Source organism: Homo sapiens, chromosome 1 (assembly GCF_000001405.40).
Source record: "Homo sapiens chromosome 1, GRCh38.p14 Primary Assembly".
In the NCBI taxonomy this organism is placed as follows: Eukaryota; Metazoa; Chordata; class Mammalia; order Primates; family Hominidae; genus Homo; species Homo sapiens.
The window spans coordinates 32,463,143-32,479,283 of NC_000001.11; the positions used below are offsets into that span (position 1 = coordinate 32,463,143).

Here is a 16,141-nt window from a genome sequence, read left to right on the forward strand (position 1 = left end):
CCTTCCTCTTCCTCTTCTTCTTCTTCCCTCTTCCCTCTCTCCTCCTCCTCGTCCTCCTCCTCCTTGAAACAGTGCAGTGGCACAATCTCAGCTCACTGCAACCTCCACTTTCCATGTTCAAGTGATTCTCATGCCTCAGCCTCCCGAGTAGCTGGGATTACAGGTATGTGTCACCATGCCCAGCTAATTTTTGTATTTTTAGTAGACACTGGGTTTTGCCATGTTGGCCAGGCTGGTCTCAAGTGATCCGCCCGCCTCAGCCTCCCAAAGTGCTGGGATTACAGGTGTAAGCCACCGCACCTGGCTCTTTTTTTGTTTTGTTTTGTTAAGTATAAAACCTCACCTGGAAGCACCAGCCCTTTCTGAGTGTGCGGGCCTGTGCCACTGCGTGGGTTGCACGTCCATTAAGCTGGTCTACCTGCCATCCACTTCCTCAACCCAATGGCATTCTCCTGTTTCTTAGATATGTACCAACCGGTTTTCTGTTTTATCTTAGCATGGCTCACTACTCCTCATTAGGGTCTCTCAGCGAAGGGGGTAGCCTTTTTTTTTTTTTTTTTTTTTTTTGAGACAGAGTCTTGCTCTGCTGCCCAGGCTGGAGTGCAGTGGCCAGATCTCCACTCACTGCAATCTCTTTGGTTCAAGCATTCTCCTGCCTCAGCCTCCCAAGTAGCTGGGATTACTGGCCCACGCCCGGCTAATTTTTGTATTTTTAGTAGAGATGGGGTTTCACCATGTTGGCCAGGCTGGTCTCGGACTCCTGACCTCAGGTGATCCACCCGCCACCACTCCAGCCTGGGCAACAGAGTCTGAGACTCCGTCTCAAAAAAAAAAAAAAAAAAAAAAAAAAAGTCATACTGGCATAGAGTGAACCCCTAATCCAATATGACTGGTATCCTTATAAAAATACTTTTTTTTTGGAGACGGAGTCTCTCTCTGTCGCCCCAGGCTGGAGTGCAGTGGCGCGATCTCGACTCACTGCAACCAAAAGGAGACATTTTGACATGGAGACATATACAGGGAATATGCCCTGTGAACATGAAGATGGCCATATGCAAGCCCAGGAGAGAAGCCTGGAAGAGACCGTTTCCTCACAGCGCTCAGAAGGAAAGAACCCTGCCAACATCTTGCTTTCAGATGCCCCCAGGATTGTCAGACAATAAGATCTGTTATTGACGCCACCGGGTTGGTGATACTTAGGTACAGCAGCCCTAGCAAACGAATACACCCCCATGAGAACTAAGCTCCCTGAGAGCGGTAAGCTGCCTTGTCTTGCTCACAGCTGACAAGAACACGCCTGTACGGTCACTTAGCACCTAGTACTGCCATTTAACCGTTTCACTAGTATGTATGAACCGGAGAGCCTGTCAAGGGAAGAGCTGAATCTTTTATCTTTTGTAACGACTACCCAGTGAAAGAAACCGCGGGTATGCAATAAAAACCTGTTGAATCGATTAAACCATTTCCCTTATTTCCAGATTTTTGCGGAAAGCGCCAGTAGGTGAAATATGTGCGGACTGATGAGTCAAAGCTCTTATTCCCTGGACTGCATTAATACCCACGACGTGCTTTTCGCTCTCCAGACAAAGAGACCGGTACTTGGCAGGTCCCTCAAGTGGGACTCAAAAGACCGAACCGAGCTGCAGCCTTTCGCTAGCACTGGTCCTCGCCCCTTTTGGCATCTTGGTACTTGTAGTTTTGTCCACTCTATCTTTACCCGAAAAGCCAGCGCTGAGACCACAACTCCCATCACCCTGCGAGCACCAGCGCCTTCAGAGCGCATCCTCCGAGGGGCACCAGCGCCATTGACCACCCTGCTGGCCGAAGGGCCCGCCTTCCCGAGGCCAGGCGCTCCCGCGATTGGCCAGCCGCCCCGCCTCTCATCGGAGGGCGCCAGGTGAATGAAAGGGGGGCGTGTCGGTGCGCGGTGCTCCGTGGCTGCGCTGCTGGAACCCGCTGGAAGGTGAGCGCGAAGAAGCGGGTTGGCGCTGCCGCTTTCGTTGGTTTGGGGAGGATTCCTAGCACCCGGGAGGCTGGCTGGAGATTGGGGTTAGCGGGCAGGGTTGCCCCCACTCAGTCATCCTCCTTCGGACCGCTTGGCCCTGGCAACTCCTGGGACCTCCGCCCCGCGAGCCCTTCTAGCGTGGGGAGGGGCAGGCGCGGCCGTGGGGCCCCAGCTTCCCTGTCATTGGGTGTCCTCCGCGTCGTCCAGCCGGGGGTCGCGGCGCCGACTACTTCCACGGTGAATGGTGCCCAGGCGTGGGGGGCTCGGCCACACTGGAGAAGTGCCAGCGGCAGCGATGGCCACTTTGTCCGCGGGAGGCCATGGGAGGGGCTAGGCCTTGGGGTCCCACCCTCGGGGGCCGTGCCCTGTAGCTGGTTCTGGTGGCCTCTCTGCAGGTCGTCTGATGCTGGACGGGGGAGGGTCTGTCTTGCGAGCAGTTTAGATGCAGTTGACCCTGAAATTCTTCGTATGGAAATGGAAACTTCTCCAGTGTCCTTCTCCTCCGATCCATGCCTAAAAGAAAGGAGTGACTTCCCCAACCTGTCGCATCGTGTCCTGGAGGGTTTGAGGAGGCCGGTTAGCATAGTGGTTAAGGATGTCAACCCGGGAGTCAGTCGGATCTCTGTTCTATTACTAACTTGGTGATGTTATCTGCATCTTTGAATCTCAGTTCCTCCTCTGAAAAAGAGGATGTAGTTAGAGTATCTGTCGTACTGGATTATTGTGAGGTGAAAACTAATGTGCTTGTAAAAGCCAGGCATGGTGGCGCGCACCTGTAGTCCCTGCTACTCGGGAAGCTAAGGTTGGGAGGATCTCTTGAGCCCAGGAGTTCCAGGCTGCATTGAGGTAGGATCGTGCACTCCAACCTGGGCAACCGAGCAAGACCGTGCCTTTTAAAAATTTTAATTTAAAAAGTAAAATGAATATGCTTGTACTTTGTACAGTGTTTTATAAGGAATAGTGCTTAATATTTACTAAAATTGAGGAGCAGGTTTTTGTTATTCTCAGGTTGGTGGGACTGGAGGAGTCTTGTCAGAAAGGGTCGGAGGTGGAATTCAAGGCTGCTTTTGGCCTCTGAACAGAGACAGTTGTGTGATCTGGCTAGGACTCCCTCAAGGGTATATGAGAGTTTGTATTGCAGGTAGTTGTGTTGGCATCTGCTGTCTCCTGGAGGACAGGCACTATACTTGGTTCATTTTTCTATTCCTGGCATCTTCCTTGTGTCAGGCATTGTATGTAGCCGGTAACCGTTGAATTGAGTTGGAACCGTGGGATGGTTGGGAGGTTCCCTGCCAGAGTGCGGATAAATGTGCTTCTGAGAGCAGTCTGCCCTAAGAGCTGCTCTTCTGGGATAAGTGGTGATCCTCAGCACTTCCCGGGGCAGCAGAGCACTTCAGGCAAATGGGGGTGATATAAATAAATATTTACACAATATATACCAAGTACAGGATTGGGGAAAATTTTGAAGAAAATACTATACGGATAGACTTTTGCAACGTCAGGAAGTAGAATAAAAATAATTGCAATAGAATAAAAAATAATTTCAGTAAGAAAGCCAAAAGAAATTGGTTTTAGGTGCTATTTCTGGAAAGGAGGCTTTTCCAGTGAAAGACGGAAGTGCCCTGGGAAGAGCCCCTATAGATCAGACCATACTACAAGTTAAGAAGTGTTGTGCGTACTTACATATTTATCTACCTGGCTTACCAACTCCTTACCCCTCTGCCCTGCCTCCTTTTTTTCTTAGTTAACAAAGAAAAAAGCCAAGGCAGAAGGATCACTTGAGTCCAGGAGTTCAAGACCATTGAGACCAGCCAGGGCAACATAGTGAGACCCCATCTCTACAAAAAAATGTTTTCAGAATTAGCTGAGTGTGGTGCTGCATGCCTGTAGTCACAGCTACTTGGGAGGCTGAGGTAGGAGGATTGCTTGAGCCTGGGAGGTCGAGGCGGCAGTGAACTGTGATCATGGACTGCACTCCAGCCTGGGTAACAAAGTAAGACCCCGTCTCAAAAGAAAAGAAAAGCAATACATGCACATAGTAAAACATTCTATCAGAAAGGTTTAAAATGAAAGGCGAAAGTCCCTCCACACACTTGTTTTTTTTTTTTTTTTTGAGATGGAGTCTCGCACTATCGCCCAGGCTGGAGTGCAGTGGCACAATCTCTGCTCACTGCAGCCTCCGCCTCCACCGCCTCCTGGGTTCAAGTGATTCTCCTGCCTCAGCCTCCCGAGTAGCTGGGATTACAGGTGCCCGCCACCATGCCCAGCTAATTTTTTTGTATTTTTAGTAGAGACGGGGTTTCACTACGTTGGCCAGGCTGGTCTCGAACTCCTGACCCCAGGTGATCTACCCACCTTGGCCTCCCAAAGTGCTGGGATTACAAGTGTGAGCCACCACACCCGGCCCCAAGTGGATTTTAAACTTGGTTTATAGTTTATCTACTAAGCAGTTAAGAAATGAATATTCCTTTTTTGCTTAACAAATCTATTTTGTCCAAAGCACTCTGCCAGATACTGTAAGGGATATAAAATTGAATAAGACATGGCTCATGCTTTCAAAGGGCTTGTAGTTCATTGACAGAGAAGGGCCAGGACATAAATAATAAACAGGAGTTAACCAAGGGTAGTGGAATCAGTCAGTTAGGAGTCTCCCAGTTGCATGAAATAGAAAACCCAACTCAGAGGCCAGGTGTGGTGTCTCACACCTGTAACCCCAGCACTTTAGGAGGCTGAGGGGGGCAGATCACTTGAGGCCAGGAGTTCGAGACCAGCCTGGGCAACATGGCAAAACCCTGTCTCTACCAAAAGTACAAAAAAAATTAGCCTGGCGTGGGGGTGGGTACCTGTAGTCCCAGCTACTCGGGAGGCTGAGGTAGGATGATTACTTTAGCCAGGGAGGCGGAGGTCAGAGTGGGCCGAGATCACACCACTGCACTGCAGCCTGGGTGACAGAGTGAGACCCCATCCCCCATCTCAAAAAATAATAATAATAATATTTAAAAAAGAAAACCCAACTCAGACCAGCTAAACCAAAAAGGAACTTAATTGGCTTCTGGCACTGCTTGAGTTGGGGCTCCAATGTTGTCCCCAGGCTCCATCAGCCTGAGCTGGGCTGTCATCTTTGTTAGGCTGACTTCCCTGGTGGTATGGCAGCAACATCCCTCACATCCTGCATCCCACAGAGCAAAGAGTGCTCTTTTTTGAAATTCCAGCAAATGTTTCATTGCTTTTCATTGGCTCTGAAAACTACATGGCCATCTCCGAGCCAATCACTGTGGTCACAGGGTGGGATGCCTTAATTTTATTAGCCTACATTATAGCTTACACACCTGGTGCTTGAGGATGGCACCAGCTTTATGCAAAGCATGTTGGCCAAGAATGGGGGAAGGATGCTTCCATCAAAGCCGAAAAAAGGCACTAGAACCAAAAGAATGGGGAATGCATGCTGGCTAGCCCAAGAATCCACCAAATACTTCAGTATAATGATGATAAAGGGAGACCAGTCTTGTTCGTGACCAGCCTGGGTAACACAGTGAAACCCCATCTCTACTAAAATACAAAAAATTAGCTGGGTGTGGTGGCATACACCTGTAATCCCAGCTACTTGGGAGGCTGAGGCAGGAGAATCGCTTGAATATGGAAGGCGGAGGTTGCAGTGAGCCGAGATCGCGCCATTGCACTCCAGCCTGGGCGAGAGAGGGAGAATCTGTCTCAAAAAAAAAAAAAGACCAGTCTCAAAGTTTTGAATTGGGACACTGGAGGCTGGGTGTGGTGGCTTATGCTTGTAATCTCAGGACTTTGAGGGGTGGAGGCAGGAGGATCGCTTGAGGCAAAGAGCTTGAGACCAGCCTAGGAAACATACCAAGACTGCCATCTCTACAAAAAAAAATTTTTTTTTAATTGGCCAGGCGCAGTGGTATGCACCTGTAGTCCTAGGTCTTGGGAGGCTGAAGCAGGAGGGTTGCTTGAGCCCAGGAGTTTGAAGGTGTAGTGAGCTATGATCACACCATTTGCACTCTGGCTTGGGCGACAGACCCAAGACCCTTCCTCTAAAAAAGAAAACCAGTTTCAGATTGATACACTAAACACTCAAGTATAATTTTTTTTTTTTTTTTTGAGACAGAATCTCACTCTGTCGCCCAGGCTGGAGTGTAGTGGCGCAGTCTCAGCTCACTGCAACCTCCGCCTCCTGGGTTCAAGCAATTCTCCTTCCTCAGCCTCCTGAGTAGCTGGGACTCAGGTACCCGCCACCACGCCTGGCTAATTTTTAGTAGAGATGGTAGTTTTAGTAGAGATGGGGTTTTGCCATGTTGGCCAGGCCGGTCTCAAACTCCAGACCTCAGCTGATCTGCCCGCCTCAGCCTCCCAAAGTGCTAGGATTACAGGTGTGAGCCACCGTGCCTGGCCTCAAGTATAATTCTTAGATGTGGATATTTTCTATAGTTTGAGCCTTGAAGAAAGTAGAATGTAGTACATTAGAGCATTGGCTCTGGAGGCCAATAGACCTGATTTTGAGTCCCAGATCTGTTACAACTGGGTCATCTCCTACCCTCAATTTCCTTATCAGAACAAGGGAGACAATATTAATATTTACTTACAAGGTTTTTATAAAAATTCATTGAAAGAATTCATGTAAAACAGTAAGCACTGTGCTCACATGCAATTAGCTATAGTTATTTTTTTCCATAAATTAACCCAGTTGGATAACCTCTTATTTTTATTAGATCCAAAGCAGACCATATTATTATTATTATTTTGAGACAGAATCTTGCTCTGTCACCCAGGTTGGAGTGCAGTGGCACAATCTTGTTTCACGCAGCTTACATCTCCTGGGTTCAAGCGATTCTCCCACCTCAGCTTCCCTAGTAGCTGGGATTACAGGCCCGGCTAAGTTTTGTATTTTTAGCAGAGAAGGGGTTTCACCATGTTGGGCAGGCTGGTCTCAAACTCCTGATTTCAAGTAATCTGCCTGCCTTGTCCTCCCAAAGTGCTGGGAAGCCCATATCCTAAAGACACTATTGCACCACTGGTTTTGGAAAAGTTGTTTAAAATTTTTAAAAGAAATCTTATTGGCCGGGCGTGGTGGCTCACGCCTGTAATCCCAGCGCTTTGGGAGGCCGAGGCGGGCGGATCACGAGGTCAGAAGATCCAGACCATCCTGGCTAACACGGTGAAACCCCGCCTCTACTAAATATACAAAAAATTTGCCGGGCGTGGTGGCAGGCACCTGTAGTCCCAGCTACTCGGGAGGCTGAGGCAGGAGGATGGCGTGAACCCAGGAGGCGGAGGTTGCAGTGAGCCGAGATTGCGCCACTTCACTCCAGCCTGGGCAACAGAGCAAGACGCTGACTCAAAAAAAAAAAAAAAAAAAAAAAAAAAGAAATCTTGTTTGTAAAGGTTGGGATTTGTGAATTAACTTAAGAAAAATCTTGGCAGAGATACAGGTTTGCTCTGGAGCAGCAGCAGCTGGCGGAGCAATGGAGATGCAATCCTATTATGCCAAGCTTTTGGGGGAGCTGAATGAACAGAGAAAGAGGGACTTTTTCTGTGACTGCAGCATCATTGTGGAAGGGCGGATCTTCAAGGCCCACAGGAACATTTTGTTTGCTAACAGCGGCTACTTCCGAGCCCTGCTCATTCACTATATCCAGGACAGCGGGCGGCATAGCACCGCCTCCTTGGACATTGTCACCTCTGATGCCTTCTCCATCATCTTAGATTTCCTCTATTCTGGGAAGTTGGATTTGTGTGGGGAGAATGTGATTGAAGTGATGTCGGCTGCCAGCTACCTGCAGATGAATGACGTGGTGAACTTCTGCAAGACATACATTAGGTCATCCCTCGACATTTGCCGAAAGATGGAGAAGGAGGCTGCTGTGGCTGCAGCAGTGGCGGCGGCAGCGGCGGCGGCTGCAGCGGCGGCAGCAGCGGCGGCTCATCAGGTTGACAGTGAAAGCCCCAGTTCAGGCCGGGAGGGGACCTCCTGTGGTACCAAGAGCTTGGTCTCCTCTCCAGCCGAGGGAGAAAAGAGCGTGGAGTGCCTGAGAGAGTCCCCTTGCGGTGACTGCGGAGACTGCCACCCCTTGGAACTGGTGGTGAGAGACAGCCTTGGCGGTGGCTCGGCTGACAGCAACCTCTCTACTCCACCCAAACGGATAGAGCCCAAGGTGGAATTTGATGCTGATGAAGTGGAGGTGGACGTTGGTGAACAGCTGCAGCAGTATGCTGCCCCGCTGAACCTGGCCCACGTGGAGGAGGCCTTGCCAAGCGGCCAGGCGGTTGACTTGGCTTACAGCAACTACCACGTGAAGCAGTTCCTGGAGGCGCTCTTGCGCAACAGCGCTGCCCCGAGCAAGGATGATGCAGACCATCACTTTTCTAGGAGTTTGGAAGGAAGACCAGAAGGTGCAGGAGTAGCCATGAGTTCCATGATGGATGTCCAGGCTGACTGGTATGGAGAGGACTCAGGTGAGCTCCCTTAGCATTCATCAGCCCTGCCAGTGATTGAGTACACACTGTCTGTGCCTTGTGTTCTCCCATCATCATGATCATTATCACCATCATCATTGTCACTACCAACATTATCAGTACCATCATCACCAGTACCATCATCATTACCATCATCACCAGTATCGTCATCATTACCATCATCACTACCATCATCACCAGTACCATCATTACCATCATCACCAGTACCATCATCATCATTACCATCATCTCCAGTATCACCATCATCAGTACCATCATCATCACTATCATCATCACCAGTACTATTCATTACCATCATCACCAGTACCATCATCATCATTACCATCATCTCCAGTATCACCATCATCATTACCATCATCATCAGTACCATCATCATCACTACCATCATCACCAGTACCATCATCATTACCATCATCACCAGTACCATCATCATCACTACCATCATCACCAGTATCACCATCTCATTATGATCATCATCAGTCACCATTATTGCCACCACCACCACCACCAATATGCATTAATTGAGCACCTGCTATATGCAGGGCATTATTTCTTCATGTATGTTTGTGTTTTACCTCTACAACTGGAATGTAAGTGTGTTGGGGGCAGTTTGGAGACATGGGAGGAACCCACTCTCTTCCACTAACCGGCAGTGGGACCTTGGTTAAATCATTGAATCTCTTTGAGTCTGTTTTGTCATCTGTAAAACGGGAATAATCATCCCTGCCCTGCCTCTCTCACAGGTTTGTTGTGGGGACCAAATGAGAGAGTTTTCAGAACTTTTTCTCACATATCATCTTAGATTTCCTCTATGCTGGGAGGTCAGTTTTGTGTGGGGAGAATGAGATTGAAGTGATGTCCAGAGATATATGCTCCAGAGATTTATACTTCTCTGTGTCAGCCAAGGTGCTTGTCAGAGACTAGGCACCCAGCCTGGCATGCTTGATGATGCCATCTACTTGAGACTATTTGATTGATTGATTGATTGATTGATTGAGACAGGGTCTCGCTCTGTCACCCAGGCTGGAGTGCAACGGTGTGATCTCGGCTCACTGCAACCTCTGCCTCCCAGGTTCAAGTGATTCTTCTGCCTCAGCCTCCCGAGTAGCTGGGATTACCGTAGGCGCATACCGCCACGCCCAGCTAGTTTTTGTATTTTCAGTAGAGACAGGGTTTCACCATGTTGGCCACGCTAGTCTCAAACTCCTGACCTCAAGTGATCCTCCTGCCTTGGCCTCCCAAAGTGCCAGGATTATAGGCGTGAGCCACTGTGCCCGGCTGACTTGAGACTATTTTAGAGCCAGTATTTGACATCATGTGAGCTAATTTTTTACATCCTTTGGTGGGCTTTTGCGTTTTAAGAGAACCTGCTTGTTTCTTTGAACAGTTATGAGAGTTGAGTTAATATGGCTAACTCCTCTTAACAGGTGAGGTAATTGTGTTATAAGGTGTCTTGTAGGAGACAAAAATAAACTTGGCTGCCAACTTACTGATGAAACGTGGCTTCCAAACCTTAAGCCAAGGCTGGGCGCGGCGGCACGCGCCTGTAATCCCAGTTACTCAGGAGGCTGAGGCAGGAGAATAGCTTGAACCTAGGAGGCGGAGCTTGCAGTGAGCCGAGATCGTGCCACCACACTCCAGCCTGGGTGACAGAGCGAGACTACTTCTCAAAAAAAAAAAGAAAGAAAGAAAGAAAAGAAAAGGAAAAAAATACCAGAACCTCAAGCCAAGAAATTCATGAATTGCAGTCTAGTAGTGAAATATTGAGTAGTGAAAGTCTTTTCCTTTTTTTAGCTTCTGATTCTCTGAAGTGAAAGTCTTTTAAATAAAGGGAGATCAGCTATTTTTATTCATTACTAAATGGCTGTCTTGAGACTTTTTTTTTTTTTTTTTTGAGACAGGGTCTTACTCTGTTGCCCAGACTAGAGTGCAGTGGCATAATCACAGCTCACTGCAGCCTCGACCTCCCGAGCTCAAGTGATCCTCCCACTTCAGCATCCCAAGTAGCTGTGATTACGGGCATACACCACCACACCCAGCTAATTTTTTGTATGTTTGATTTATAATAGAGACAAGGTCTCCCTATGTTGCTCAGTTTGGTCTCAAACTCCTGGGATCAAGCAATCCTCTCACCTCAGCCTCTCAAAGTGCCAGGATTACAGGTGTGAGCCATTGTGCCTGGCCTGTCTTGAAACTTTCTAATTTCTGGGTTTATTTTATTTTAATTTTTTTGAGGCAGAGTCTCACTCTGTTGCCCAGGCTGGAGTGCAGTGGTGCGATCTCAGCTCACTGCAACCTCTGCCACCTGGGTTCAAGCGAGTCTCCTGCCTCAGCCTCCCGAGTAGCTGGGATTACAGGCACGTGCCACCATGCCTGGCTAGTTTTTGTAGTTTTAGTAGAGATGAGGTTTCACCATGTTGGCCAGGCTGGACTCGAACTACTGACCTCAGGTGATCCCCCTGCCTCGGCCTCTCAAAGTGCTAGGATTACAAGGATGAGCCACTATGCCCGGCTTCAAATTTCATTTTTTTAAAAAGCAAGAGCACTCAGTGTGTCTGATTAAAACAAGACTTGAAAAACTTGAAAATGGCCAGGTGCAGTGGCTCACACCTATAATCCCAGCATTTTGAGAGGCCAAGGAGGGAGGATTGCTTGAGCCCAGGAGTTTGAGACCAGCCCGGGCAAGATGGCAAAACCCCATCTCTACAAAAAAAAAAAAAAAAAAAAAAAAAAAAAAAAAAAAAAATTGAAAAATTAGCCAGGCGTCATTGCATGTACCCATAGTCCCAGCTACTCAGGAGGCTGAGGTGGGAGGATCACCTGAGCCTGGGAGGTCGAGGCTGCGGTGAGCTGTGATTGTGCTTCCAGCCTCGATGACAGAGTGAGACCTTGTCTCAAAAAAAAAAGGAAAAAGAAAAAAAAAAGAAACACTTGAAAATGCTGTTTCTGGTTCTGAGACACTGGCTTCACCAGCATTGGGAAGATAGTGGCTGCTTCCATGAACACACCGTGGGAACTTGTTCAAATTCTCATTGCTGTGTGTATAATGGCATTTCACAGACTGATCACCCTTTCACATCCACAAGTCTCTCATGGTGTCCCATGCCTTTGGCAGAGGAAATATGGAGAAACTGTTACCTAGAAGGGTTTAGTGAGTTTCGTAAGAATGTAAGTAGTAAGTGGCCCAGCTAAAACCAGAAAACTGGAGTGGCTTCTTTCATTCATTAAACAAACAGTGAAAGCAACACAAGTAGGTAGCGGATTTCAGTGCAATGATTTTTTTCTTTGAACCCCTCTGCATGTAAGCACAAGAAGTATCAGGAAATAGGCATTTGGCTCTGTGCCACTTATAATATATTCAGGTCCTGTCCTTATTGGTCTGGAAAGTCAGAGTTCTTGCTATAAGGTGTTGTGGTGTGGCAAGGCAGCTGCCCTGGCCCCTGGCCATGCCCTGTTGTCTACCATGTTTTTATTTCATTCATACGGCTCCAGGGTATAGTTTTTCCAAGTGCTAAGGCACAGAGTAGGATTGATTTGTTTGGTTATTCATTTATTTGTTCAAATATTTGAGTACCTTTTGTGTGAAGGCATAAAGATAAGTCAGACATGGATGCAGCCCTCAAAGAACTGATAGTGTTGTATAGGAGATAAGACACAAATGTGGGCCGGGCTCAGTCGCTCATGCCTATAATCACAGCACTTTGGGAGGCCGAGGCAGGTGGATCACTTGAGGTCAGGAGTTCAAGACCAGCCTGGCCAACATGGTGAAACCCGGTCTCTACTAAAAATACAGAAACAAATTAGCCAGGCGTGGTGGCGAGTGCCTGTGATCCCAGCTACTCGGGAGGCTGAGGCAGGAGAATTGCTTGAACCCGGAAGGCGGAGGTTGCAGTGAGCCAAGATCACACCACTGCACTCCAGCCTGGGCAACAAAGCGAGACTGTCTCAAAAAACAAAACAAAACAAAAGACACAAATGTAAATGACGTCACATGCTAGAAAGGTACTAGGGTTGAAAGACACTCAGAGGTATGAGTTCATGGTAGTCCAGAAGGAGAACTGGCTTCCTACTGGGAGATCAGGGAGGCATCCTGAAAGTGCCATCTGAAGGTAAGAAGAGGGGACAGGGAAAAATTGACTGGAATCAGATCATGGAAAACCTTAAATGCAAAGAGGGGAGGTTTTTTTTTTTTTTTTTTTTAGACAGAGTCTCACTCTGTTGCCCAGGCTGGAGTACGGTGGTGCCATCTCGGCTGACTGCAACCTCCGCCTCCCAGGTTCAAGTGATTTTCCTGCCTCAGCCTCCCAAGTAGCTGGAATTACCGGCGGGCATCACCATGCCCAGCTAATTTTTGTATTTTTCGTAGCAACAGGGTTTCACTATGTTGATCAGGCTGGTCTCAAACTCCTGACCTTAAGTGATCCACCCGCCTCAGCCTCCTAAAGTGCTGGGATTACAGGTGTGAGCTGCTGTGCCTGGCCAGGTTTGTTTTGTTTTGTTTTGTTTTGTTTTGTTTTGAGACAGGGTCTCACGCTGTCACCCAGGCTGGAGTGCAGTGGCACGATCACAGCTCACTGCAGCCTCGACCTCCTGGGCTCAAGTGGTCCTCCTGCCTCAGCCTCTCAAAGTGCTGGGATTATAAGCATGAGCCACCATGCCTGGTCATAGGGGGGTTTTTGGTAGTTTCTTTTAAATTTTTATTCCCACCTGGATGCTCTGCACAAGCCTCAATCCCTGTAAAATCCGAACTGAACTCCCCTTTCCTCATGTACCTGCTTTTCCTTCTGTTAATTTCACTCCTCCTCAGTGTGTCTCCTCTCCACCTCCACAACTACTGCCTTAGCTCCTGTCATCTCTCATCCAGACTCATGGTCCCCTCCCACCTGGACTTCCTGCCTTTAATATTGACTCTCTTAAGTCTTTTCCCTGAATTGTGCCCAGAGGGATCTTTTAAATCTGGCCATGAAAGTTTGACCACGTACCTTCCTTGCTTAAAATCCTAGCTGGCTGGGAGTGGTGGCTCAGGCCTGTAGTCCCAGCTACTCGGGAGACTGAGGCAGAAGAATCACTTGAACCCTGGAGTTGGAGGTTGCAGTGAGCCGAGGTCGCACCACTGCACTCCAGCCTGGGCAACAGAGCGAGACTCTGTCTCAAAAAAAAAAAAAAAAAATCCAAGCTGCTTACAGGTAAAGTCCAAGTTTCTCAGCATGTTAGCTCCATGAGGGGCAGGGACTTTGGTCTATTCTGTTCACTGTTGTATCCCCAGGACCCTAGAACAGAGCCTGACACATAGTGAGTGCTCAGTATAAATTTGCTGAATGAATGAATGAATGTGACCATCACAATCTAGTTCTTGTCCCTTCCTTGCCCTCATTCCTAACCCCCACTTCATACTTCATATTCTCATTTACCTCTATGCCTAAGTACGTGTTCTTCCTCTGCCCAAGATACCTTTCTCTGTCTTGAAGTCCTGGTGAACTCCTGTTCATCTTTTAAAACCTTGCTCAAAGTTAACCTCTTCTGTGAAATCTTCTCTGAACTCCTAGGGAAAATCATCACTTTTTATTTATATTTCTTCATCACTTTGAACTTTGCATGTGGGCATCATATTGTATGAATATGTTTACATATCTTTCCTGCTAGACTTAACTTCTTGAGGGAGGAAACAGGTGTCTTACAATGGCCTGTCATGTAATAGGATTCAGGTGAACTGTGGTATTGGAGTGAGATCAGGAAAGGGGAAGAAAGTGTTGAGACAATCCATACTTTTCTGATGGAGAAACAGTTAACAGTTATTTTTCCCAAGGACTTATGCTGGGCCTATTTTATTTTATGTTTTTGTAGATAATCAGGAAGAAGTGTGTGGTACAAAGCTAAGGTGATGGAGATAAATAACAAGGAAGTTCCACAGTGCCAGAGGAGTGAGCAGGGTGATGAGTTATGAGCTGCTACTTTGATCCTAGGAAACAGGTCGTCATTCCTGGCTGGGTGCTGTGGCTCACACCTGTAATCCTGGCACTTTGGGACCATGAGGCATGGAGGATCCCTTAAGCCTAGGAGTTCAATACCAGCCTGGACAACATAGTGAGACTCTGTCTCTACAAAAAAAAAAAAAAAATTGTTAAATTAGCTGCCCATGGCCGGGCATGGTGGCTCACACCTGTGATCCCAGCACTGTGGGAGGCCCAGGTGGGTGGATCACCTGGGGTCAGGAGTTTGAGATCAGCCTGACCAACATGGTGAAACCTCGGTCTCTACTAAAAATATAAAATTAGCCAGGCATGGTGGTACTCGCCTGTAATCCCAGCTACTTGGGAGGCTGAGACAGGAGATTCACTTGAACCTGGGAGACGGAGGTTGCAGTGAGCCGAGACTGTGCCATTGTACTCCAGCCTGCACAACAAAAGCAAAACTCCGTCTCAAAAAAAAAAAAATTAGCTGCACATGGTGGCACACGCCTGTAGTCCCAGCTACTTGGGGAGCTGAGGTGGGAGGATCACCTGAGCCTGGGAGGTAGAGGCTGCAGTGAGCCATGATCATGCCACTGCACTCCTGCCTGGGTGACAGAGACCCTGTGTCAAAAACGAAAAACAGGCCAGGCATGGTGGCTCACGCCTATAATCCCAGCACTTTGGGAGGCTGAAGCGGGTGGATCACTTGAGGTCAGGAGTTCAAGATCATCCTGGCCAACATGGTGAAATCCTGTCTCTACTAAAAATACAAAAATTAGCCAGGCATGGTGGTGTGCACCTGTAATCCGAGCTGCTCTGGAAGCTGAGGCAGGAGAATCACCTGAACCCAGGAGGCGGAGGTTGCAGTGAGCCAAGATCGTGCCACTGTACTCCAGCCTGGGTGACAGAGTGAGACTCCATCTCAGGAAAAAAAAATAATAATAGTAATAATTCCTATTTTACTTGTATCAGTACCAGTGTGAGCAGTCAGAGATTTAATAATCTCACATATGTGAGCAGTGATGAGCTTTTGAGCTGCTGCTTTTATCCTGGGAAACAGATATCGGAGTCACTATAGAGTATGCAAAATGTTAGGCATTATTAGGATGGGAACTTGATACCAAAGAGAGTTTCCACCCTTACATAAAGGATGTTGGACTTTCACATTCAGTTTAGTGTGCCATACTTTTCATAGCACCTCAGGAAAGACAGAGCCAGTTAGGTATCCCAAGCCAGCCCCAGAGAAAAGAGTTACTCCAGTGTTGACAGAGACCACAAGAGCCTGGACTGCTTACCTGGTAAAAAAAATTCTGAAGAGATTACGATGATGACAAACATGGCTGACATTTGCAAGTTCTTACTATGTGCCACGTGCTATGCTTTATGTGTTACTTTATTTCATTCTTACCACAATCCTGTGAGGTGGGAACTGTTATCATACCTGTTTTACAGATGAGGAAAGTGAGGCACAGAGAAGCTAAGTGAGATGTCCAGGGCCACACAGCTGATCAGTGCTAGAGCCAGGACTTGAACCAGGTTTCTGTACCTAGAAAGCTTGAGTCACTAGTGCCTTCATAGGTGATATGATATGATATGATATGATATGACCAAAGTCTATAAATATTGAAGGGCATGGATAGAGAGAACAAATCTCGGGCCGGGCATGGTGGCTCATGCCTGTAATCCCAGCACTTTG

At 47.8% G+C, this 16,141-nt stretch overlaps 1 protein-coding gene across 1 annotated transcript in view; it reads left to right on the forward strand.

The window, feature by feature from the left end:
• Window positions 1-1,929: 1,929 nt before the first annotated feature.
• Window positions 1,930-16,141, forward strand: part of ZBTB8B (zinc finger and BTB domain containing 8B) — a 31,615-nt gene continuing 17,403 nt past the window's right edge. Inside the window, exons 1-2 of the mRNA NM_001145720.2 lie at window positions 1,930-1,963; window positions 7,442-8,473. Of these exons, the coding sequence (NP_001139192.1) occupies window positions 7,483-8,473 (991 nt within the window). The 5' untranslated portion in view covers window positions 1,930-1,963; window positions 7,442-7,482. The remainder of the gene's footprint in view (window positions 1,964-7,441; window positions 8,474-16,141) is intronic.